This window comes from Homo sapiens, chromosome 9 (assembly GCF_000001405.40).
Source record: "Homo sapiens chromosome 9, GRCh38.p14 Primary Assembly".
NCBI classification, from domain to species: Eukaryota; Metazoa; Chordata; class Mammalia; order Primates; family Hominidae; genus Homo; species Homo sapiens.
Genome location: NC_000009.12, coordinates 20,618,466 through 20,645,157, shown reverse-complemented (window position 1 = coordinate 20,645,157; position 26,692 = coordinate 20,618,466). Strand labels below are relative to the sequence as shown.

Here is a 26,692-nt window from a genome sequence, read left to right as displayed (position 1 = left end):
AAACATGAAAGGTAAATTATAAAGTAGAAAAATATTTCAATATATCTGACAAAAAGCATGTAGTAGTTTAAATCAATAATGAAAACACTGAAACTTCAATGGAAAAAAGTACAATGTGCAGACAAATCTCAGAAGCAGAAATATAAATACCAATAAATATGTGAAACAATTCACTTTTACTGCTATAATACAAAAAGTTAACAATTTCAATGATATATCATTTTATTCTACTAGAAAAGTTATGAAAATACAAAATTTAAGGCTGGTGAGGTTGTTTCAAAAATAAGCATGATCGTACACTCCTATTAAGAGTCTAAACCAGTATGTATTTTTTAGAAAGCAATTTGGCAACATATCAAGAACTTTGTAAAAGATCCATATTCTTTGACCCAGATTCCCATTCTAGAACCTTTAAAGGCATAAAATGTATCCCCTTTTCTCAGAAGTGTACATATGCAAGAAGCATAAAGCTGACAGCCAGAGGGAAAGAAGGCAGTAGGAAGAAAGAGGTGGCATTAAGATTCTGGTTGTAGTCACTGAAGGCCCTAAAACGGCCCTGGTTCTTCAGAATCTGTGAGCTATCTCAGAACCTTTCCAATAAATCCTCCCCTATGATCCCTTAGTCTCTGTCCCCTGCACAAAAAGATAATTGACTAACATAATGACCCTGGCCTGAAATGTGTATTCTTTCCTTTTGCTAGATTAACCTACTGTATAATTTTGGGTAAAAGGTGCTGATTGCTTTGATTCATTGCAGTTGGTTCTAGTCCAAGCTTAATTAGTTTGGAATTAAACTGGATCCAATACTAGCACCTTTTATAGTGTCTATTGAAATACAATATTAGAGCGATGAAATTCTTCTTGAATGAGAGGTGTTGGTGAGATTTTTAGCCAAGACAAAGTCATGTTTACTAGCTGGATTAGCCAGGGTTTCTAAAGGGACAGAACTACTAGGATATACGTATATATGAAGGGGAGTTTATTAGGAGAATTGACTCACACAATCGCAAGGCGAAGTCCCACAGTAGGCCATCTGCAAGCTGAGCAGCAAGGAAGCCAGTGCGAGTCCCCAAACCTCAGAAGTAGGGAAGCCGACAGTGCAGCCTTCAGTCTGTGGTTGAAGGCATGAGAGCCCCCAGCAAACCACCCATGTAAGTCCAAGAGTCCAAAAGTGAAGAACTTGGAGTCTGATGTTCAATGACAGGAAGCATCCAGCACGGGAGAAAGATGAAGACTGGAAGATTCAGCAAGTCTGCTGTTTACAACTTCTGCTTGGCGGCTGATTAGGTGGTGCCCGACCAGCTTGAGGGTGGATCTGCCTCTCCCAGTCCACTGACTCAAATGTTAATCCCCTTTGGCAACACCCTCAGAGACACATCAGGAACAATACTTTGCATCCTTCAATCCAATCAAGTTGACACTCAGTCTTAACATTCACACCAGCCAAAATAGATCAGAAACAAAAATTAGAAGAAATTTACTGGACTTAGCCTAATTAGTGAGATAGAGCTGCTTCGTGCGGTGCTGTGGTTAAGTGATTAGGTAACAATGATCCAAACACAATAAAATTCAACATCCTGAGGTGATGCCTTATGAATCCTTTCCTCCTTGAAAAGCCTGTAACACGGTGGACTACTCTTTTCTTGTCCTTTTCCCTAGCCTTCACAATTCCACACTCTCCTGATACTTCTCATTAGTCACATTCTCCCCTGGTTTTAATAATAGTTGGATTAGCTTGGATAAAGGCTAGAATGAGGTAACAAGAGACAAAAAATACTCAAATAAGATAAAGAGTTATTTCTCATGTAATATTTTGTGTATATTGTCCAGGAATAATATGGTGGCCCAGTAGGTTAGAGAACCTGAGGTCCTTTTAATGTATGACAGCCACTGGGTACGACCCTCATCCATGTGGTCAAAATGACCTCACTATCATATTTGCATTCAACCCCATGGGAAGCAGCGACATGCTTCTTTCCTACAAAAGGCATAATTGAGAAAGTGAAAACATCATTTCTAATAAATCCCACAAATGAGAACCTAATCATATGGCCACAATTAGCTGCACAGAGGCTGGGAAATGTAGTCTATATTTGGGGAATCGTGTGCCCAGCTAAAGCTCTATTGTATAGAAAAACAGCACTTTCTAACACTAAGGTTTACTAAATATGTCTCATTACTTCAGATTTCTCTCCTGATGTTCACACCTAGTTATTCAACTGTTTACTGAGCATTTATTTATTCCACAAATATTTAACTGCGCTCCTGTGTTACCAGCCACACTAACAAAGATGCTTTTTCTATTTAGATGTTATTCAGAACCCTAACATGTCCAAAGCTGACCATTCCGCATTCCCTAAACTTTCCTCCTTCCTATCTAGGTTATTTGCACCATTATTCAACCAGCTGCCCAACTCAGAAGTGAAGGTGTCTCATACTTATATTCTTCCCTCTCTCATCCAAACTGTCACCAGGCCTAATCAAATCTACCACCTAAACAGATCTCCATTCTAGCCACTTTTCTCCACATACCTCCTTTTAACTGTCGTCTAGGACTCAGTCCTCTCTGTTTTTGAAATTGAAGTATAACATATGTACAGTAAATATGTGAAGTGTGCTAATATAAATGTAAAGTTTAATGGGTTTTACATATGTGCATACCCATTTAACCACCATCCAGATGAAGATACTTCTCAAGATTCTCTGTGTTCTTTCTCAATCAAGCACTATTTCTCCTGTTTAGATAGTTGTTTAAGCCTTTTCAATGGACACTGACCATCTTTCAGTTTCTTTATCTCTCTGTTTCTGACTGCCTGCTTGTCTCTCCACCTCTCTTTCTCTCTCTCTCTCTCTCCTGTGTGTGTGCGTGTGTGTGTGTGTGTGTGTGTGTATTTTTCCCTTGTCCCTGGGGCTTCATTTTACTTCTGTTCTCTCTCTTCCTTTTTGGCTGATAAATCCTTCTGTAACCCAGATCTCAGCTGAGATATCACCTTTATCAAGAAACCCTGTCAGTTGCTGGTATGGGGATTTGCCTAAATAACCTTGTTATGGTTATCTTAGCTTGGGAAAAGGAGAAATAAAACATGTTGAACATGTTTTGATGTAGAACATAGAATATATTTGTTTTGGGTAAACGAATTGGAGATAGTATTTTACTTGTAGGTGAGACCTGGTCACCAAAATATTTTCATTCCTAGTATTAGTTTAAACATTGCTGCTGTAAGTTAGCTATCACAGCAAATCAATAATATTTAAGTCATAGCTCCTTTCAGTGGATCTCACTAGTAAATAAGCCATTGAAAAGTATGACCATATTTATTTTTAGTGAACTAATGTTTTATAATATACATCTAGTAAAGTATACATAACTTAGTGAGTAGTCTGATGAATTCTGATGACTGTATACCTCTGGGTAACCAATATCCCAACTGGTTTCCAAAGTAGAACTTTTCCAGCACCCCAAATAATTCCTTTGTGCCTTTTTGGTCAATTCCTCTAAAATGCAGTTACTGTTCTAATTTCTACCACAATTCATTGGTTTCGCATGTGTTGGAATGCCATGTAAGTAGAATCAGATAGTATATGTATATTCATGTATTTTGCTTCTTTTGCTCAACATAACGTTTTTCAGATTCATTTATGTTGTTGCATATATGAGTAGTTCATTCTTATTTTATTACTGAACAGTATTCCAATGTAGTATATGTGGCACAATTTATCCATTTTACCAATTTTCATATTGGTGGACATACGGACTATTCCCTATTTTGGCCTATAACAAATAAATCTACTATGAACATTCTTACGTAAGTCTTTTTGTGAAGATATGTCTTTATGTTTCATAAACACCTAGAAGTTGAATCCAGATGGATCATAGAATAGGTATATTTTTATCTTTATTAGAAACTGTTAAACAGTTTATCAAAGATTGGTATTATTTTATACTCCAACTAGAAATGTATGCAAATTCTACTTGTTCCACATCCACATCAAAATCTAGTGTGTCAATCTTTTTAATGTTTGTCCTTTTAGAAGTGTGAAATGATTTCTCATTGCAGTTTTCACTTGCATTTCCCTAATGATTAAAAATGCTGAGCACCTTTTCTACATGTCTGTCCTGGAATCTTTAAAGTGTGGCTCTTGTTCTCATTCTTACAAAATGGTGCTGGAGCTCTAGCTGTCACTGCGCCGTAGGCAGAAGGAGGAACAAAGGGTCCAGATCTTACAGTCATGTATCTGCTGAGTCTTTCTCAGAAGCCTCACCCATGGGCTTCTCTTTCTATCTCATTGGTCAAAATTATGTCACATGCCTAACCAATCTGCCAGGAAGGCTGGGTAAAGCAATTTTTTAAGCAGATCTTCCAGGTTTCTATTACTGTGAAACAAACCAACTCAAAAGTTAATGGCTTAGAATGAAAATGTGTTTTTCTCACAAATAGGCCATTTGGGCAAAGCTTAGCAGAGACAGCTTGTCTCTGCTTCACTTGGCATCAGCCTAGAGGCAATTGTTGCTGGCTGCCGGCCAAGAAGACTCACACAGTTGGAACTGTGGTTAGAACACCTACACATGAGCTTTTCATGTGGGTTCTTGGATTCCCACACCACGATAGCTGAGTCCCAAGGGTGAGGGTCCCAAGAGAGACTGAGGTAGAAACCATATCGCCTTTTATGACCTGGAAGTCACACATTATCACTTGTGCTGTATTCTATTCATTGTGGAAAATACAAAGGTCTGCCTGGTTAAAGGGGAAGAGAAGTCGATTTTACAACTTGATCTGGGGGTGGCGAGGTATGGAAGAGCAAGTGGACCAAAATATTGCTGTGGGCTGGGCCCAGTGGCTCACGCCTATAATCCCAGCTCTTTGGGAGGCCGAGGCAGGTGGATCATTTGAGGTCAGGAATTTGAGACCAGCCTGGCCAACATGGTGAAACCCCGTCTCTACTGAAAAAATACAAAAATTAGCCAGATGTAGTGGCGCATGCCTGTAATCCCAACTACTTCAGGAGGCTGAGGCGGGAGAATAGCTTGAACCTGGGAGGCGGAGGTTGCAGTGAGCCGAGATCGTGCCACTGCACCCCAGCCTGAGCGACAAGACTGAGATTCCATCTCAAAAACAAAAAAAACAAAAAACAAAATATTACTGTGGCCATTTTGGGGAAATACAATCTGCTACAATTGGGCATGTTGCTTACCCCTAACTAAGCTGGGATTCTCTTCACAAGAAAGATGTGGCGAATAAATATTGGGTAGGCAAGCTGAGTTTCTGTCATGTTCTTTACACATATAACATTATAATTGTTTGCTTTCCACTAGACTGTAAACTCCATAAAGACAGCAGCCAGATTTGTCCATCTGTCTTTATTAATTATTGGTTCCTTAGGGCCTAAGGAAAAAAAAATAGGCATTCAAGAAATATTTCTCAATGAACAAGTATTAAACTAAATAAAACCATATATAGAATATCAGTTTTAGAAAATAAACTGTGATGAAACATTAGGAAAGAATGTAAAAATTGAAATTTTAAGTCAATAACCTGCCAGCCTGGAGCTGGGAGCTGTGGCTCACACCTGTAATCTCAGCACTTTGGGAGGCTGGGACAGGTAGATCGCTTGAGCTCAGGAGTTTGGGACCAGCCTGGGCAACGTGGCAAAACCCTGTCTTTACAAAAAATACAAAAATTTGTCAGGTGTGGTGGTGCATGGCTGTAGTCCCAGCTACTCAGGAGGCTGAGTTGGGAGGATCACTTGAGCCCAGGAGGTTGACGCTGCAGTGAGCCATGATTATGTCACTGTACATCAGCCTGGGTGACATAGTGAGACCCTATGACAATAAATAAGTAAATAAATAAATAAAAACCTATCAGGCTGGGCAACATAGTAAGACCCTATCTCTACAAAAATCTTTTTAAAAAATTAGCTGAGTGTGGTGGCATGCACCTGCAGTGGCAGCTATTTGGGAGGCTGAGGTGGGAGGATCACTTGAGCCCAGGAGTTCAAGGCTGCAGTGAGCCATGATCACAGCACTGCATTCCAGCCTGGGGGATAGAGTGAGATTGTCTCTAAAAAAAAGTCAATAACCTGCAGAAAGCCCAATAAACATATATGCTAAGGATTAAAACAAATCTCATTCTACTTTTTAAAATAAAAAACAAAATAAAGTGCTATTTAGTGAGGCAATCAGAGACCAAAAGCCAGTCCTTATGACTTTTCTATACATTACTTTACATTGGTTTAGAATATCCAGCCATTGACCATTATTTGCTATTGTTGGAGACAGTTTGGAAAATGCATGCTCCCTGATCCTTACTGGATCAGTATTGAGGTCAAGAATTTGTTCATTCTGTGAACTATCTCTTCTTCATCCTTAAGTACATTTTTAGCTTACATAGTTTAAAATCTTTATTTTCTCTTTTTATTTATTTATTGATTTATTTATTATTTATTTATTGCTTTTTAGTTTTAGAGACAAGGTCTCATTCAGTTACCCAGGCTGGAGTGCAGTGGCACTATCATAGCCCACTGTAACCTCAAACTCCTGGACTCAAGCAATCCTCCCACTTCAGCTTCCCGAGTACCTGGGACTACACGTGCACACCACCATGCCCAGCTAATTAAAAGAAAAAAAATTCCTTGTAGAGACGGGGTTTCTCTGTGTTTCCCAGGGCGGTCTCTAATTTCTGGCCTCAAGCAATCTTTCCACCTCAGCCTCCCAAACTGCTGAGATTATAGACATTAGCCACTGCACCCAGCCTTAACATTTTTTGACTTATGTTGTTTCATATATTTAAATATTTTCATCGTTTTCATTGGTTTCATATTCCCTTTTGAAGAGCTCTTCAATGTTTTGTTTTTCTTTTTCTGGTCCATTTAATAACTAGTTTGCCAGTAACCATGGCTTTGCATGGCACGTTCCTGAGGACTGTGACAAATATTCTCATACTGTGATCTGATTATATCATACCTCTGCTCAAATTTTTTCAGTGGTTTCTTGTCAGGCATAGAAAACTCTTAATCTGTTGAGCATGAACAGAATACCCTTTCTGAGGAGATTCCTCATCTCCCAACACTTTCCTTCAGTCAGACCTTAGAATAAGTATAGCTACTGAGCTTGCCATACCTTCTCCTTTCTCAGTGCCCCCCCACCCCCACCCTTCCTAGTGTCTTTCCAGGCTGAAGGAAGAATATCTGTTAAATGTTTGCTCCCAATTTCATTCTCATCCTTGTGACACCCTCTCCTCATCCTTGTGATAAACTCTTACCCTCCAGTATCATCTCAAGTGTTAATGCCTCAGTTATTCTTTCTCTAAGCTCCCATCTCAGATTGGGTGCATTTTCCTTGTCTTGTATTTGAATATGCAAATCTCAATTAGGCTTTTTTTTTTTTTTTTTTTTTTTTTACTTTCTCACAGCAAGTAGTTCTACACAAAATCTAGGTGGAAGAAACCAAGCACAATCATTTATTTAAATAGTATTTATTGTTTCTTCCTCTCTCTATGTCTTTTTATAGGAGAAGCGAGATATGAATTGGGGGGAGAGGAATCCTACTCTGTTGTTGGCTCTTTTTTTACCTACTATTGGCCAAAGAAGAAGACAGGTGGAGAGTAGTGATGCTCCTCCTGGAATGCCAAGGTGGAAGAGAAAAGCAAGTGATTTGAGAGGTGATTGCATAAGCTTAGACTCAAAGGCCCTGCTGATATATTTCCTATCTTTTACTTGCATCCTTCACCACATGAAGGAGGTTTTAGGGTATTTTTCACATCTGCCCATGGGACAACCCAGCCATTTTCTCTGTCCTCTGGGCTCCCTGCCTTGACAGAGTCTTCTTAGTGTGGTGCTGTCACAACAAGGCTGTTACTGTGATTGAAAGGAAAAGGCCAAAAGACACAGACAACGGAAGTTTATTTAATAGCCATGAATATATAAATGTACAGAAACAGTCAGACAAAGCAGAAAACAACATAAAGTACTCCCAGTTGGATTTACAGACTTTTCAAGTTCGCCACTGGGTCCTACTTAGGAAGAGTGAGTCATCTTCTAAGCCATTTTATCAGAGGATTTCCAATCCCCCTGCTCCTCCCTCTGCCTTTCTGAAGATTCTGCAATTGCCTTGCAGCTCTCCAGCTGCAAGCAACTGATGCAAATCAACCCTAGTACATTCCAGAGTGTTTATTGGGAGACTAGGTGAGTTGAAGGTGAATTTCTACTTGTAGCGTCTATAAGTAGAGCATCTTGTAGCAGGCCCAGATTTCAGGGTTGCTTTTGTTTGGTCCATTTCTACACATGGTGTTTCTATATTTACTAGAGTTATCCCTGCACTGTTATAAGAGAGAAAACATGTTAATAGCCTGGAGTATGGAATTAGATTGCCAGGGTTTGAATTTTAGGATGACCAACCATGCTGGTTGTGCTGGGACTGAGGAGTTCTATAAGGATGCAGGACTTGTCAGTACTAAAACAAGGACAGTGGTCACCCCAGAACATTGCTACTTACTAGCTCAGGTCTCAAATGGAAGTAAAAGTATTCCAGCATTATGGAGGTATTGTTGGAATAAGAGTTAATATTTGTAAAGTGCTTACAACAGTGTCTGACATATATAAGTGTGTGTTAAATCAAAAACTTATGGAAGACACGGTTTTTTTCTGGGCATAATCGCATTGTCCAAGCAATGTTTTTAATTTTTGCCATTATCTTAGGGGTTTACAAAAGTGAATTCTTATTTATCTACACATTTATATGTATATACTGTTTAAGTGAGTTTTTACCATCTAATTTTCACATAAAACAATACATACTCAAAATAACTTCACCATAGTAATGTTGAACTACAAAATAGCATGACTAAAAAGTGATGTGGATAGTAAAGGAGGATGTCCAATTGTGAACGAGTTCCTCCAAACCCTGCACCTCTTTCCTTTCTGCTCTTACTCTACCTTGATCAGAGCCCTGTTTAACAATGACTGTATTGTATTGGAATTATATGTCTGTTGCCACCAGAGAGGGTATGCAAAAGCAGAGCCTGTGTTGCAGCTGACAGTGTGGAGGGAAAAGAGATCTTGGGCCGGTGGCTATTAATTACTGGAAACTTTCACCAGAAGTGAAAGACTCAATGAATGTCAGACCCTCACCCATCAGATTAGCCATCCCTCCTTCAAAGCAGGGGTATGGGCAGTCCTAGAGAAGGCAAGAAGTATTCAGGCCATGTTCTATGGAAATGAGAAAGCTTTGGATCACAGATGTATCTCCCAGCCTACAACCTTTTGACTAAAAGCCTCCTACTTTAAAATATTTGTTAATAGTCTGAAGCTTTAAAAAAAAAAAAGTTTTTGAATCCCTTGTGGTTCAAATCCAGAGCAGTTCTTTTGACAAGAAATGAATGCTATGTGAACATAAATATTTTTAAATACCAAGACCTTTAGGTTTTCTTTGAACCTCATGAAAAGGACTCACAGACCTCCAATACTTCTTAAAAATCCTCTCTTCTTCTCCCATTGGCTAGTCTATTCAGCTAGGCAGCCTTATCTCTCATAGCCCACTTTCACTTTCCCCACCCCAACCCTCTTTCACCCTTAAGCCTAGAAGTCTTTGGGACTTTGTTCCTATTCTTTTTCCTACACCTCTGAGTTCTTTATTGTGTAAGAAATCATAATTTATTTAATTTATTTGCTAAATTATTGCCGTCTAATATTCTTAAATTCTAAATCTGTGATGTCCTTCCAACATGCTAGCACCATCTTAGCTATTGAGCCCTTGAAAGGTGGCTAATCCTATTGGAGATACACTGTGGCAACCTAAAATCAGTGAGAGACCAACTCTACAAAGCAAAGAGTTCATTCAGGAGTAGCAAGGGATTGCAATGAGGGATACATGTGCTATGAAAAACATAGGTGCATCCAAGAGAATTGGGGCAAAGGGGAAGCTTTTAAAGGCAAAATAAATGTCCATATAAGTCATTTTGAAACAAAGACCATTGATTACAGGGTCGTGTTGCTGGAGTTGTTAGCTTATTGGTGGAAATAGCCATTGTTAGGCAAGGGTCCTTGTGAAATCAGGTTACTGCAGTTTCGAGGAATTCCTTGCATAGTTCCCATTATAGGCATACATGTGTGAGGACCCCTCCTTCACGGCATCCCCGCTCCATTAAGTTAGGGTTTTATATTAGTGACTCCATTTTCATACTGATAACTTTCACAACTGCAAGTATATACACACTGAATTTCAAAGGCAGAATGAAAAGGAATGTAAAAGATAGCAATAATAATTTTTAAATTAATTTCAATTGAAATGATATTTTGGTTATATTGGGTTAAACAAAATACATTATTAAAACTAATTTTATCATCTTGCTTTTTAAAAATATGGCTACTAGAACATCTAAAATTATATACGTGCCTCACATTATATTACCTTTGAACAACACTGTTCTAGATTGGGTCAGCAAACTTTTCCCATAAAGGCCAGATACTGACAAAGATTTTTTGCTTGGCCAAACTTTAGTCAGTCTGCTGAACCTTCTCCTAGGCCCATTTGTGCACTTCCTAATTAAACTCAGTTTTAGCAAGAACCCCTACCCTTGGAATCTGACCATCTCAATATCTGATCAGGCTTCTCATCCTCCACCATCCTCCAGGTGATGTCTGGTCACCCTGGCCTGCCTTCAACAAAAATCCTGTTAGGTCGGTTTAGCCAGACTCACTTTTGCCCCTGATGTTTCCTCTTAGTGATTTCCATCCAACCACACCCTGCTCCTCGACTACGAATTTCCACTTGCCCATGTATCTGGAGTTGAACCCAGTTTCCGCCTCCACTGCCAGGCTCTGTTGTAGTGGTTCCTGTACCTGTCTCAATGATGCTGAGTAAAGTCTTCCTTATTGTGCTTTAATAGGTATCATTGAATAATTTTTTTTCTTTGAAAAGGATAAGCATTTTAGGCTTTGTGGGCCATGTGGTCTCTGTCGCAACCACTCTATTCTATCCTTGTAGCACAAAAGCAGCCATAGATATATGAAAACTAACGACCTTTGTTATGTTTCAATAAAACTTTATTTATAGGCTCTGAAATATGAATTTTAAAATAATTTTCACTTGTCATGAAATATCCTTTTAAAAATTGTATTCAACTATTCAAAGATGTAAAAGTTTTTCTTTAACAGACTTAGAGTCTGACTCGACTTCCTGGCCACAGTTCGCCCACCATACATTACCCACATCTGTTCTATATCAACAACAGGACCCTAAGGATGAGATTATCTTCACTACCACAGAAAGGGCCTCAAGAGCTGGGCTGCTTGAGTAAATGAGTAAATTGGGGAAATCAGAACTGTGGACAACTAGAGGAGGAGTACCTAGTCTAAGGGGGTAGCCTGAACTCCGCTTCAGCTGAGTCTTCTGGATAGGTAAGCCCTGGGTGGCCAGATTTCTGATTTACTTTTTCCCCAGGAGAAGCAGGGAATTCGAATTTTTATGTAACATTTTCCAAACTTGACATATTATCCACTACCTTAAACAAATAAATAAGCCAAAAATTTTGTTCAGTTCAAACACTATAGGATATAGGTTCAATTCAGTTCTCCAGCCACCACCTCATATCCTTTGTCTTAGCCATGGAATTTTATTCATAAACACATTTCTTTTAAACCTTGCAGATAAAGGCGACTGGTGTTTTACATGTTTATGTGTCTTGCCAGAATAATTTTAGGTAATTTCAGCGTGACATAATTTTGCAATTACTACTTCATGTTCTCAAAGATAATTTTGTGTCATGTAGAGACTTTTTTACTTAGTAAACAATCATAGTCTATAACTAATTCTCTCCCTCCCCCTTCTTGTATATGTCCTCCATTTATTATGGTTTTATTCTTTGCAAAACACATTCTTTTCTAAAAATGGCTTTTAAGTGACTAGTAGATGAGAACTTTCATGACTCAAAAAGGCCAGGCTTTTAGTTTTATTATCTGAGAGAGAATGAGTACTTAGAAAACTATATGTATTCACTGAAAGAAAAAGCAAACAAACATGAAAACTGATTTTGGGGTTCTAAAAATATTGTTGTTTTTACCTTTGACTTAACAGCTACTTTGGGCCATCTTTATTCTTAAGTTAAATACATTTTCTACTATTAGCTTAATGAAAAATTATTTTGAAATGATTTTTTTTCTATTTCTACAATAGAGTAAGATGGCTCAAAATTGTTATTTTGGGCAAGTCTGCTATTCCTGAACTCTGCCAGTTGGAGACAACCTCTCGTGTCAAAGAACTTCCTTTTTGAGACATGTGCTTGGCTCAGAATTACTTCTGCTCCCCAGTTTTGCCAAGTGGGCTTGCTTATACCCGAGAGTTCAATCATTTTATCTTTGACATTAAGGAGAAGTTTAGCCAATATATATTTAGGTCAATATTTTAAAAGGAAAAAAATGCTAAGACTGATTTAATGCCATTTTGTAGCATTTTTCATTTATCTGCTTGTAAGTTCAATGAACTCGTCTCCAAACATGTAAAATTAAATCATAAAGCCTCAGCAATTACCTTCAGATCTAATTTTTCAGAATTTCAACCCATGAAACACAAAGCAGCGTTTCAAAACAACCAATATGATAAAATACTGGAGTGGAGGGGAAAAGAATGAAGCTAAAGACTCCTGCTATGGTAAAACCAGAATCAGGAATGTTCTGATTTATCCCAACTGGAAAAATGAGGATTGGTGTACCTTAACCTTGACAAAATTCATTAGTAATGACAGAATCCTGTGTAATGACAAATGCCCTTGCTTCTCCATTTCTAAATTGTTATTAAATTCAAACTGTGCCTATATTATTTTATTCATATTGTTTCTCATTATTTAATGAGTAGACTTATGCTAGGAAACAGATCAAAACTCAAAAACTAAGTACTTGCAAGTTTTTCAACATTGCCTTTTAACAGATTTTCTTATTTCTCTACATACTTTGAAGTCTTTCTTACCTGTGCCTTTTTACTTCTTTTTTTTTCTAGAGATGGAGTCTTACTACGTTGCCCAGGCTGTCCTCGAACTCCTGGGTTCAAGGGATCCTCCTGCCTCAGCCTCCTGAGTAGTTGGGAATAGTTCCAAAACTATTGGAAATAGAGGCATGAGCCACGGTACCCAGCCTTTTCTTACATTTATCTCTTTCCTTTAACCAATATGGCTCCATCCAAATTAACTTTCTGTTGAATTCTATTTCAAGTTGCAGAATTTAGTTTTTTGTGCTTTATACATAATAGGTATACAGTAATATTTGTGAAATACATCTATAATGTTAGGGAAACTAGTTATTCTTTTCTGTTTTGTATTTGTTGAATATGTTATATCAATAGAATCAATAAACAATTTCATCCACTAATATGGTTATTGCCATTTTAATTAGAATAATTACAACTTCTTCCCATTCTCTCCAAAATAAAATAAAAATCAAAGCCTTGAGTGTCTCACTAAAAAATCTGTACCATGTTGTTGAGTCAAGGAAGACAAAATGACTTGGAATATTTTGCATTATGACCTGGAAACTGCGTTTATATCTTTTTCCTGCCATGTGCATATGATCACTGCCTTAAGGTTCAACTTTAGTTTTGGCTTGAAGTCAGACCATTGCGTTAGCTCTCTAATCAAAACGTCTGGGATACAGCAAGACCAGTACATAGTTTTAAATATAGGGTTGTATAAGAGAATTAAAGGCCTTGATTGAAGGAAAGGTTAGGAGGTCTGACATCTCCAAAAGACACTTCTGGTGGCTTTTGTTTACAGAGTACCACAACTTGGGTAAGAACCACAGTATAACAACTAATGAATTGAGAAACTACATGGACTGTTATATACAATTACAGCTTCCACATTGGGATTACTGAATAAAAATCAAAACCAGTCTCTGAATGCTTTGCTCTTACAGTAAAAAGAATTTTTCCAGAACACTGTCATCATATTTATAATTCCCATAAATTTTGCTTTATGGTCTAGTTTGGAAGTTTTTATCTTAAATTGGTTTGGATTTATTTTGTTTATTTGTTCTTTATTTGGGACCTGATTTTTTAAATTCACATTTTCACTTAATGACCTTCTCTACCCCTCACAGACATTTTAAGGAGTGAGTGGTGCCTTTGTGCATTCTCTCTCAAGTTTGGAAAGGAAACACAGAGCTCTCTACCCTGTTATTTAGTCTACTCTTTCCACATTCCTCTCTGGTACCTGGTTGGCAAAAAAATCTCCATAAAGATCCTGGGTATAAAATGACAGCTCAAAGAGCAATCTGTTCATCTGCTATTTGTTCAAAACTGCTGGCCAATCTTCAGACATTGCATTGGCTGTACTTGATCAAGAAAAGGTCCTATTTCCGATTTTGAGAAGTACTAACCTGACAGGTGTCAGAGGTAGGTGACCTTTAAAGAAAATATTAACTGAGAACAAAAGCATTAGATGGTTTCTAAATGAGCCAAGGCTACTCATCCAGCTGCCCTTGAGCAATAAAAAAGGAAAGTCAGTGCATTATACACCGGGTCAGTGATAAAAGCCATGAAAAAAATAATCTTTCTAAGTTAGACAATGCTGATATTGGCAGTCCTTGAATGCTATTAAAACACACATACTTCTTTTTGAGAAATGCTTAATGGGGCACAATTAAGCGGTCTGTAGAATTGAATGACCTTTAAATTGCTGTAATCTCATGAGGGAAACCTTTCATACACAGCCTCTACTTTTGAAAGAACATTCCATGAAAATATTGTCACTAATTCAGCAGGGCATGCCAAACCTATGTCTAGTTTCTTGCTCCCTTTGGAGTCCTTCATTCCCAGAGAAAAGCTGAGATCACCAAATAGGCTGACCTCAAACATGTCAGTCAACTAAAAGCCGTCACATGATTAAAATTCAAAAACAAATTTGGTGGTAGGCAGAAAGGAGAAAACATAAAATAGGTAAAGCTTTAAACTGACAAAAAAGAAAAGAAGAAAAAAGAAAAAAACTATAACCTCAATCTTTTACTTAAAAATAAAATCATTTAGATTGTAATATTTTCTCTTCTCATTTGTCCTACTTTTGTTCTTATTAAGCATATATTTTTAAGAAAAAAAATCATCAAATAACATATACAGAACATATACATATACATATACAGAACAGTGACTTCCTAAATTAGTTCTGAATCTTAAGAGCCAATTTTCCCCCTACAATTTATGTTTTGAAAAAAAGAGACTAGGCATGATGGCTCATGCCTGTACTCCCAGCACTTTGGGAGGCTGAGACAGGAGGCTTGCTTGAGGCCAGGAGTTCGAGATTAGCCCTGGCAACATAACAAGACCTCCTCTCTATAAAAAAATTTAAAAAAAAAATAGCTGGGCATGGTGTCTGGTGCCTGTAATCCCAGCCACTCTGGAGGCTGAGGTGGGAGGAGGATGACATAAGTGCAGGAGTTGGAGTGCTGCAGTGAGCTATGAATGTGCCACTGTACTCCAGCTGGGAAATAGAATAAAACCCTATCTTAAAAAAAAAAAAAAGACAAATTTACTGAAAAGGCAGTACAATGATCATTTCAATTCATTTGCCTTATCTCTCTTTTATCTTAATCTGTATCTTTATTATTTTGACTCACCTACTTGAGGGTAAGTTGTAGACATGACACGACCCTAACTACTTTGGCATGTATTTTCCAAAAACTAGGAGGGTCGCCTGTCTAATCACAATCCTATTAGCACAAGAAATTTAACTTTGATAATATCTTCTAATATACAGTATAGATTCAGATTTCTCCAATTATTCCAAGAATATCCTTTAGGCTATTTTGTGTTTATAATACATGTTTTTGGATCCAGAATTCCAGTAAGTATTAAACATTGTATTTAGTTGTCATGTTTTAGTCAACTTTAATCTGGACCTATCCTCGTCTTTTTGTTTTTTTGTGTTTTTGGTTTTTTTGTTTTGGCCCTTATGATACTGATATTTGAAGAGTTCAGGTCAGTTATCTTGTAAAATGTTCTACATAATCTGGATTTGTCTGATTACTTCCTCTTGATTAGATTCAGGTTAAACATTTTTGGCAAGAAAAATACATAGGTGGTGATGCTGTATGCTTTTTTACCGCATCACTTCAAGAGGTACATGATGTCAGCTCTTCCCACTAGAAATGACGGTAAGTTTAATCACTTGGTTAAGTGGTGTCCATGAGATGTTTCCACTGTAAAGGTCTCTTTCTCCCTTTGTAATTAATATGTAATCTGTGATACTATAACATTAAATTAAAATTGATATATAAAATTAATATGTAATCTGTAACACCAGATTTTGTGAATAATGTATTCTCCAAAATCTTTCACTTAATACTTTCAGCATATACTAATGAGCCTTGACTAAATCTATTACTGTTATGGAGTCTGCAAAATTATGACTTTTCTGATCCTATCGTTCCTTTTATGTATATTAGCTAGCATTTTTCCATAAGAAGAAGTTTTGTTTTCAACCTTCTTGTTAGTTTTTTAAAGTACCATTATGGAATGATAGATTCTTTCTGAAGTTCAAATTGTCCCAAATTTGACTAGTTGGATCCCTTCAAAGTAAAATTTTAATTTGGAAGTGCTTTCAATACTTGTTTTAATCTTAGTAAATAATTTCAGCCTTTTTTTTAAAGTAGAGGTTACTACAATGTCATGGCTAAATCTTTTTTTTTTTCTTAAATAAGGATACAAGTGAATAACCAGGGCTTATCGTTATGTGCTTAATAACATCTTTCATTTATTGTGGCAACCTGTCAACTTTAATTCAATAATTATGAAATGCCTTGAAATAAATGAGAGTTAGAGGCATCCTAAACTTACCCTGATTTGAAAGGACCAAGAAAAGTAGCTGACCTTCAATAGAAAGCCAATAAAAGTTAACTGAACACATTAAACTAATCATCAAACTAAAATGCTAAAGTCATGAAACATAAGAAAAGATTGAAATAAGAAATATTAAGGGTTTGATCATACAGAAATAAAGTTATTTAGCTATTTTTAAGTTATTTTCATCTCCTTGTTACTATATGAAATTTCTCCCAAACTGTTATCAATACAGTGCAGAAGACAGTTCTTCACTAACTTTCCCTTATTTGGATTCATAGAGCATATGTAATAGACCTATAATTAGGAATAGCCTTTAAGAGTTATTTTGATTTAGCAAATTGTAAATGAACATTCCTTCTTTCCCATTGATTGGTATTGCTTCCTAGATCAAGAATTTTTTGCCAAAGCACCCTATATCTGGGATGAAAAATTGGTTAATAAAATTTAGAAAGTTTTTCTTAGTAAAATTTAGAAAGAGCTCCAAAACAGAAAGAATGAAATAATATATAAACTTTTCTGTGAGAAAAACTATGAATGGAAAGTAACAAGTAGATGCAGTGATATACATTTTGTATAGTTTTAAAAACCCTGCCTATAACATACATTTACATTTAAAAAACCCCACAAACATAAATTGTGTCATTGTGGATTATCTGCAAAGTAGGTAATATACTCATGGATTATTCAAGGCTGACAGTAAATAGCTTAACCCAACCAGGATACTTGATCCTACCAGAAGGTAGTAAATCACTGGCTTCTTAGAGGCTTAGTATTATTTTCAAGCCACTGTCACACCATTTAGTAGATGGAAAGGAGTCATTTCTTTTTTTTTTTTGAGACAGAGTCTCGCTCTGTCACCAAGCTGGAGTGCAGTGGTGCGATCTTGGCTCACTGCAATCTCTGCCTCCCGGGTTCAAGTGATTCTTCTGCCTTAGCCTCCCGAGTAGCTAGGGCTATAGGCGTGTGCCATCATATCCAGCTAATTTTTGTATTTTTAGTAGAGACAAGGTTTCACCATGTTGGCCAGGATGGTCTCGATCTCTTGACCTCATGATCTGCCCACCTCGGCCTCCCAAAGTGCTGGGATTACAGGCGTGAGCCACTGTGCCCGGCTAGGAGTTACTTCTTTTTCCTAAGTTTTTGGCAGTTTTTGTTGAAGTTTGAGCTGTCCAAATTAGTTCATAGGCCTGATATGTTATTTTTCCATTTTTACCAAAAAGACAAAATATATTTTATTATTTTAAGATAAAGTGATTATTTTAAGCCCTGATTCATTATATGTGAGTGGGAGAGGTGAACTCATATATAAAAACAAACAGAATTTCCATTAAAAATAAAAGAGATCAAATCATTACATAAAGAAAGAAGGAACATTGCACAGTAGCGTTTGAAGAGATGCCAGAGATACATAAAGATATAGTCATTTGGTCTACTTTTTAGATAGATTGTTTTACAGCAAGCATTTTCAACTCAATATGTATTTTACCTAGAACTATTCCACTAAGCATCCTGTATATATTAGGGAGACTCTTTCAATCACTCTATATCAACTGTCCCCCAATACTTATTTTGTTTCATATTGCTGGTTTTACACGACATCCTTGATTAATTTTCAGGCCTTGAGGTGCTACTTATTAAATTAAGGATACAGCCCACTAAATTAATAAATTATTACAGTGGAGGCACTCTTGTCTTCTGCATGTATAAGTGCATTGCTTAAATTACTCTCAGGGAATAATTTACACATGAAGAGGCACTGGTGGTTAAAAAAGCTCTGTGTATTTCTTATCTCTGGAAATAGTCCTGGACTAGGTGCTCAAACGGCTATCAAAGCAATCTTTTTTTCAAAATAGTAATGAGTCTTACCATTCTAGTGTTCCCACACTATCCTAGAATCATGAATTAAATATAATGTTAAACATGTAACATTTTGAACCAAAAATTTCCATAAGAAATGGGGAGATGATTTCAACTGAGAATTGCTCATGATCTTGAAAAGACTTAGCTTTCTTTCATTGTGGGATTTTTTTTTTTCTCCCTAAAAGAGCTGTAAAAAAGTGAACATACAAAATACTTCAGATCAAGAAAAAGGAAAGTAGGAACTGGCTGCTGTTGCAAGAAAGATATCTGCCTCTCCCCACCTTTTAAGTATTAAAAGGTGGAATTAAGGACAATGACTCCTGGCTTCTAATCTCATGCCACTGTTTTTCCTGTCCTTGGGCTGTTCATGTCAGGTTTCTATGCTCCTCGCTTATATATGACACGCATCTTATCCCAAATTTAGCTGTTATGAAATTTAAAAAAAAAAAAGTTTTTGGCGAAACTTCTCCCCTGGTTTATAAACTCTGATATCAGGAATCCTGTCATTCTTACAGTCTTAGGGCCTAACTCTCTGCCTGAGACGTGGAATGATTTTGTGAATAAACACATGGATGCAGTACACAGAAAAAGGTGCACAATTATGGAAGAAGAATCCTTAATTACTTTGAGTCTGATTTTTGCAAAATGTCTATTTAGAGTCTGGCACATTTTCTAGTTTTTTCCATGCTTCTTCTTCCTCTTTTCTCCCCAAGTCTATACAGCAATGACGGGAAATAAATGGTAAATTTTTATTGATTTGAATTTGTGCATCAATTATCTATCACAACAAATAGATAAGTTTATTTTAGGATGCTCCTTAACACTCTAATTACACGTTAAAGGCCCTCTCTTTGTTCTGCCAGAAACATGGAAACTGGCTTTAGCTTCCAGACTAAAGAAAACAATTGCAAATAAAAAGGCTGGAGCCAAAATGATGGTGGTAGGGCAATGGTGATGGTAGTGGTGGTAGTGATCTGTCACAGACACTGTTCTCTTTTATTCTTCATCACGATTTTTATTTGATATGTTAATTACTTTTCTGATCTTCAAACTAACCCCATGGTGCTTCATACTGTGCTATATACAACAGTATGAATTTTGGTAAGATAATTATTCTTTGGATAAGTAGATGATTTTATCCCTCACCACTTCCATTTTAGTTATTATATTACTATTTCTGTATTTAGCACTGAAGTTTGTCTTAAAATTTCTTTACAGTACATTTTCTATAACCACATTGTCAAGTACACAAAAGGTTATTTTCCACATTTTTACCTCACGTTAAAGTGTGAAGATCTGCACAGGAAATTAATCGATTTTAATTGTTTTTAATGGCAAGCTTATTAAAATAGGTTGTAATTAATAAATTGACAGACTTGCATAAATTTCTTTGTCCAAAGTTGAAGGGAGAGTATTCAGTCTTGTGTTTTCTTTTCTTTCTTTTCTCCCCCTTCCTGATCTTTTTGTTGTGAAGGGGTCACGTAAGGACGTCCGTGGAAGAGCTCCGTGCGCCATCTACTGACGGAATCTAAATGTCCAGTATTTGGAGATTGGGAGTAACTACGTTGGGTTGTTAGAGCATTCTTTGAGGAAGGAGGGGTACTGGGAAAATACCCTTTCAGACTCTATGGCTTATTAGTGATTGCTGGAATAAATCTGAATTCAGCAAACACATAATTCAAAAAAGAGACCTCTATCTGTTGTGCGGGTACAAGTTTTGGAGACAATCTCAAGAGAGTCCGGTGGCTGGCGCCGGAAGAAGTTAAACCCTGAAATGAACTCAAACGGGGAATGGGATTGTTGTTTTTTGCCTGTGTCCTGAGCTACACTCGCTGTTAATGGTTACTTCTTAATAAGAAATGGCTTTACTAATGGCACGTCCAGATAACCTTTAGTTTCCAATACTATTATTACAAAGGACTGCTCTCAAATTTGATTATTTTATGAAAAGTTTAATAATGCACAATAAATAGGTCCCCCCTTCACGTAGATACTACCCACACAGCTTGTCTCTGCGAATATAAACGTAGTCCTTGTACATACATACAGACACAGCGACGCATATACCTACAGGATGATATGCAGTTATGTATATGTGTGTCAGTTGACAAATCTAAGCCCTTGGATTTAGATTAAAATGTTTCTACCTTCAGTCGTTTGCTCCATTCTATGCTAAATCCTGTAGAAGGCTGGGAAGAACTGGGGACCTCAAGCCAAAGAAGTTTCTTGATTATAACTGACAGGCAGCGGAATATCAGTTTTAGGGAATCAAAAGTTGAGTTGGAAGGCTGCTGGTTTGGAAACTAAGGTTGGTTCCAAGTGGTCCGACCTGATTCCCAGGATCTTTGTGAGAGCTGCTGGGAGAACTGAAAATTAACAGCGAGGACACAGGACGCCCTAGGTAACGTCCTCCCCGCTATTCTGCTCTTCTCAATTCAAGGGCCGAGACAACTTGCTTTTGTGGAAAAGGGAAGTAAAGGGAAAAGAGGAAAGCAAGGAAGTTCAGTCAGAAAGAGGAAGAGGGACAAAGAGGAAAGAAAGGGACAAAGAGGAAAGAAAGGGACAAAGAGGAAAGAAAGAGGGACAAAGAGGAAAGGCAAGGAGAAGAGAAGGAAAAATCAAGGTTCAGCAAGAAGTTGGAAGGCGAGGGAAAAAGGGGAGTAAAGAGAAGGCAAAAGAGGTCTAAGGGCTAGGAAGATGCAAGGATCTTTTTTTAACGAACCAAAGTCACATCCATCTTTCACTTTCAAATCAATCGTCTAGATCTTATCCGTTTCCTTTTTAAAGGTTATCTGCGTCTGTAAAGGAAGCCAGTAGTTGATACTCCTCTCCGCGCCCCACGCGTGGCCGCGCTGTTCTATCTCCGGCCACTGAGATCAAATACAACGCGAGTGAGAACATTTGCAGAGGCGCGACTCTGGGAACACTCCTGCGACTGGCTGTCACCCGGGAGTCTAACCGGATTAATACTCAGAGATGGATTACGCTGGTTGTCACCAATACGCCTAAAGATTATAATCCAATTTACGCACATTACAGTCAGTATTAACTTTATCTGCTATTTTAAGACTCCCGGTTGCCCCGCGCGTCCTCAGAGGACAATCCTCCACGTTCTGATGCAACTCAGTAGGCTGTCAGGAGGGGAAGCCCCCCGAAGAAAACAACTCCAAGCCTGGTCCCCGAGGGTCTGTACCCGGCACTCCCAGGTGTCTTGCTTTCACCTGGGCACCGCTTTATGAAGCTTCCCAGCCGGGGATTACCAAAGCGGAAGGCGTTCCCTTGCAAGGAAATAGCATCCTTGTTTCTCCCTTGTTCATTTCATTTTCAAATTTTCGGTGGCGGTGGCAGAAGGGCGGGGAGTGAGGGTGGCGGGCGGGTGCCTGTGAGTGGATGGGGCAGGGGGCCAGGGGATCGTTGCGGGTTAGAACAGCCTCAGTCATTGCTATTTTCATGCTCGTTTTTTGCAGGATGGCATTTCTCTCGCTCTCTTTAAGTAAGTTTGTTTGGGTGTGAGTTCTTGTCTTTTCAGCACAAAACCACAGAAATACGTGGTGGAAAGTAAAAGAAAGCCCACTCCCTCCTCCCCGTGCGTACTAGCTAAGGACTTGATTTAACACCCCCTCTCCGGCTGCTGAGGGCTCTAAGCAGTGGCTACATTCCAGCAGTTTTAATCCGTTTTTTATTGTAGGGCGAGCAGAGTTTACACAGGGGCTGGGATGGCTCCCCAGCTGGCCGCTCTCCCCACTCCTGCGTCCCCTCCCTGCCACCCCCCCAGCAGGAACCTGTTACTTTAAGCGAGGCTTTCCAGTGTGGCGCTGCGGGCCGCCGGGGTTTCGGGAGGTGGCAGGTGATTGGCTCTTTCGAGCTCCCCCTGGCTCGCTCGCTCTGCCTCCCCGCGCGCTCCGCCCCGCCCGCAAGCCCTCCCTCCGCCCTGTGAGGCTCGGAGCCCGGGTGTCAGGCGCCACGGCGCATGCTCCGCAATCATCTTCTTTACCCTGGAGCTGCTGCTGCTGCTGCTGCTTTTGCTTTTGGGGCTGAGTTTAATAAGCGAGCGAGCGAGCAAGCGAGCGCGGGGGGAAAAAGGCAGAGAATGTCCGCCATCTACCCTCCGCTCCTGGGCGCGCTCTCATTCATAGCAGCCTCTTCATGAATTACAGCTGAGGGGGGGCGGAGGAGGGGGGGGTACCACACAACACCCCAGCAAACCTCCGGGCCCCCAGGCATGGCTAGCTCGGTAAGTACGCGCAAAAATAATAATAAAAGCCCTCCCCCACTTTCCTTCCTCGCCCTGCGCCGCCGCAGCCCAGACAGCGCCAGCGCTCCGCGGTTCCAATTAGAGAAAGGTTGGTACGGCTTGCAGGGAGCTGCCGCCTCTCCCTCAGCCTCCGCTCCCCTCCTCCCCCACCCCCCCCCGGCGCGCACACAGACACACAGACACACACACACTCACACACGCTCACACTCGCCCCTCCACCCCCCGCGCCTCCCTCCCTCCTCGCCTCTTTGCAGTCACAAGAAGCGCACTCACACACTCCCTCTCGCTCACACGCGCGCACTCACACACACACACACACACGGTGGAAGGAGGCGAATAATAACTCAGCCATATTTCAGCCGCCGCCGCCGGGAGCTGCGGGCACAGTCCGGGGACGCGGCGAGCAGCCTCGGCGGCCGCACCTCCGCAAAGCGCCGCGGCCGCTACGATGGTGCGTTCTCCGCGGCGCGCGTGTGTGAGCCGAAGTGTGCGGGGCTGACAGCGGCGGGGCCGCACGCAACTTTGCCCCAGCGCCGGGAGGTGCTGAGCGCGAGCCGAGGCTCGGCGGCTGTCCGCCCGCCGCCCTGCCTTTCTGAATTTCATTTTTTGGGGGGAGGTGGGAGATACTTTGGAGCCACTTGGGCTCTTGAAAGTGTGTTGCGGGGGCTCGGTTCGACTGGCCTCGCCGATCGCGTGGGGCTTTTCGCTGGGGGGTGCGGGGTGCTCTAAGTTATGGATGCCTCGGCGTGTTTTCCTGCGGGCGTGTGTGTGTGTTTCAGTGTGTATGACGACGTCTCATTTTTGTTGTGCACGAACCCCGTGGCAAGAGCACGGGAGTTTGTGCCCATCAGCAGAGGCTGCCTGTAGTTTCCATTTCGCCTGGCACAGCGCTCCACACGCACGCACACACACGTACACAAAGACTTCCTCGGCGTGTGCCTGTCGCCGCGGTACTTTCGGGGAGGGGGCTCGCCAGGAGCCCTTCGGTCCCCCTGGGTCCCAGCCACCTCCCCTCCCACGCCGGGAAACCGCCCCGGCATCGCCTTCTGATTTGTTTCCGATGCATTTGTTGTCGTGCTTGTCGTGGCTGAGTGTGTTCTCCCTCTTTTCCCCGACCCCCTTCCCGACTGGGGATAACATTCCGTTACAATCCTGTCCGATGTAGATGCGGGGCCCGGGGCGCCTGGGGCCAAGCCGGGCCGGGCGGGCGGGTATATTTGGGGGTGTGGAGTGTGCGCGCCCACGCGCGTGAAACGTGGATGCAGAGGGCACCGCCGTTTCCTTTTATGTGCGTTTCAAGAAGGAGGAAAAAAATGTCAGGCGCAACGTTCACTGCCGAAACCTCGCCTTCCTGTTATTCACGGCTGTCTCTCCTCCCCCTGCCCGCAGTGTGCCGTGCAGGTGAAGCTGGAGCTGGGGCACCGCGCCCAGGTGAGGAAAAAACCCACCGTGGAGGGCTTCACCCACGACTGGATGGTGTTCGTACGCGGTCCGGAGCACAGTAACATACAGCACTTTGTGGAGAAAGTCGTCTTCCACTTGCACGAAAGCTTTCCTAGGCCAAAAAGAGGTAGGGCTCGAATACAAAAGGGTCTTGATAAAAAATGTCTTTGAAACAATCGCTTGGCCCGGGCGGTCCCGCTGTCCCGCTCCCCGCCCCCCGCGCCGCGCTCGCCGGCGTAGCCTCGGGATCCGGGTGCGCGGCGCCGCGCGGGCCAGGTCCCGGCTCCCGCCTGCCCGCGCGCGCGCCACTTCGGCTTGGTGAAAGTCACCGCAGAGAAAGGACCGTCAGGTGTCGAGTGTTTATTCATCCCAAGCCAGCCCTCACCAGTCCTCTGGGGTTAGCCGCGGGTTCTGTGGGGAAGGTGCAATTAGTTGTTGAGTTTGGAGATGTGGGGAATCGGGCTGGAGGGAATAAACACTTTGCGCGTGTGTGTGTGTGTGTGTGTGTGTGTGTGTGTGTGTGTGTGTTTTCCTAGAGAAATTAAGATTTACCTGTGTTATTAGCAAAGAATGTATTGGATGTAGTTATTGTTCGGTCTTGGCAAGTCGGTTCTCTTTAGGGTCTTCTGTGCTTTCCTGTCTGTGTATGAGGCACCAGGTGCCAGTTGCCATAGACTTTTCTTTTTGTGGCTTAGCCACCGCCACACCCACTCCAGTCTGGATTTTATGTTTACTTGGGGGGCTTACTCGTTCCTCCCTCCCACCCCCGCGTGCCACTTGACTGCTCCTTTGATTCTGAGCAACGTTCCAAAGTGTCTGCCGGATGTGATCTGCAGGGAGACTGTTCTTGCAAAGGTCGAAGCTAAGTTGAAGAGGAACGATGTGGAGGAAGCCTTTTGCTTTAGTCCCTCCCCACCTTGGTTCTTAGCCTTGGAGTCTAGTTTGCATAATCCTACTGGGCCTCTGTGGTCCCAAACATTTTCCATAATGGGCAGGACAGTTTTGGAAAAAAGAAACGGAGTGTCATTTTGAAAGAAATTTAAAGAGGGTTTGAGAAATACCGATTTCTTTTCCCTTCAACCTCTGGAAAACTAATGTCTGGTTGTTTTAGTTGGATTAGTGAAGGTAACAGTACAAATACAATAAGGTGCTTTGTTTGTGAGCAGGTTTATTTATCTAAGTCGACACAATGGTTAGTAGTTATCTTCCATTTGATCCGTAATCTTTATTGGCATCTAGAACTCCTGTCGTTTCTTAGAGTAATATCATAATAAATCCATTCTGCTTAGAGCTGTGTGGAAATTATTGAACATTCAGGGGGCTGAATAAAGAAAGGAGAAGCGTCGTGTGCCTTAGAGGTGGCAGAGGTTTGTATTGGTGCTTAGTTTTGTTTCCAGAGCTCATGTAATGGGAAGTAGGATTGTATTTTTTGCCTTTAGTGGTTTGGTTTATAACTCCTCCTGAAAACTTGAACGGTTGAATTTGATGGTCTTTGTTGGATGGTTAATAAATAAATCCAGTTTCTTATAGAGGGCTAGAAATATGCATGGCCTATAGGAAATAACATTTGAAATTTGTTAGCATTTTATGTTAAAATATAGTCAGAGATTATTATATTTCATATTTCCTCCAAACTGTGGTAAGGATGAGCGATGTCAAATTTCTATCGCTGATGAGGTTGATATGCTGCTTCTCGGATTCTCTCTCTCCCTTTCCATGTGTCTGTAGAGCAGAGGAGTTTAAACAAAAGAAACCACTTTCTAAGATCCTTGGTACACATTATTACTACTACTTGGCTGCAGTTCACTTCAAGGTGAAATAAGCTTTTAAAAAGCAACATTTATTAGGAAAATTAACTCAGTTGGCAGAAGATGTAGCTCTTAAGGTAACTTTGTTTAGGCACCTTGACAATCAACAAATTGGCATTATGAAATTAAAGATGATCAACCTCTATTTTACCATTGTTTTTCTGCTTCAGTGGATGTGTGCATTGATGTTATTTTTATTTCCTATACTTAATGATTTTCTGTCTGCCCTGAGGGAACATGAGGGTGCTGCTCACATAGGCCACACCTGGGAGTTGTTGCTAGGCGTGGTAAGCTGCTTGATAGCAGTGATGACTTCTCAGAGGTCTCTGGTGAGAGATGTCTGCTTGTTGGTTGGATTCCTCAATTTTTATACTCAACTGTGGAGGTTCTCTATGCAGTCTATAAGCCATTGTTTTAAAATGTTTATTTTTGGATTTTTATTTGTATGCGTGCTTCCCATGATGTGACAAGTCCTGGGAAAAGTGCCAGCTTACATCACCCAGGAGA

General features: G+C 40.4%; 1 protein-coding gene across 2 annotated transcripts in view, besides 6 other annotated features; it reads left to right on the top strand.

The window, feature by feature from the left end:
- Positions 22,061–22,200: a silencer, noted in NCBI's record as "silent region_19801". NCBI's record gives its function as "represses an Ori minimal core promoter by ATAC-STARR-seq in GM12878 lymphoblastoid cells {active_cell/tissue: GM12878}" and the evidence as "EXISTENCE:reporter gene assay evidence [ECO:0000049][PMID:35858748]".
- Positions 22,221–22,680: a silencer, noted in NCBI's record as "silent region_19800". NCBI's record gives its function as "represses an Ori minimal core promoter by ATAC-STARR-seq in GM12878 lymphoblastoid cells {active_cell/tissue: GM12878}" and the evidence as "EXISTENCE:reporter gene assay evidence [ECO:0000049][PMID:35858748]".
- Positions 22,659–26,692, top strand: part of MLLT3 (MLLT3 super elongation complex subunit) — a 280,831-nt gene continuing 276,797 nt past the window's right edge. The window contains exons 1-2 of one of the 2 annotated variants that reach the window (NM_004529.4): positions 22,659–22,913; positions 24,324–24,504. In NM_004529.4, the coding sequence (NP_004520.2) occupies positions 22,902–22,913; positions 24,324–24,504 (193 nt within the window). In that variant the 5' untranslated portion in view covers positions 22,659–22,901. Of the gene's footprint in view, positions 22,914–23,219; positions 23,386–24,323; positions 24,505–26,692 lie in introns of those variants that run through there. The other variant, NM_001286691.2, reaches the window with a different exon arrangement.
- Positions 23,101–23,250: a silencer, noted in NCBI's record as "silent region_19799". NCBI's record gives its function as "represses an Ori minimal core promoter by ATAC-STARR-seq in GM12878 lymphoblastoid cells {active_cell/tissue: GM12878}" and the evidence as "EXISTENCE:reporter gene assay evidence [ECO:0000049][PMID:35858748]".
- Positions 23,321–23,370: a silencer, noted in NCBI's record as "silent region_19798". NCBI's record gives its function as "represses an Ori minimal core promoter by ATAC-STARR-seq in GM12878 lymphoblastoid cells {active_cell/tissue: GM12878}" and the evidence as "EXISTENCE:reporter gene assay evidence [ECO:0000049][PMID:35858748]".
- Positions 24,301–24,430: an enhancer, noted in NCBI's record as "active region_28229". NCBI's record gives its function as "activates an Ori minimal core promoter by ATAC-STARR-seq in GM12878 lymphoblastoid cells {active_cell/tissue: GM12878}" and the evidence as "EXISTENCE:reporter gene assay evidence [ECO:0000049][PMID:35858748]".
- Positions 24,591–24,710: a silencer, noted in NCBI's record as "silent region_19797". NCBI's record gives its function as "represses an Ori minimal core promoter by ATAC-STARR-seq in GM12878 lymphoblastoid cells {active_cell/tissue: GM12878}" and the evidence as "EXISTENCE:reporter gene assay evidence [ECO:0000049][PMID:35858748]".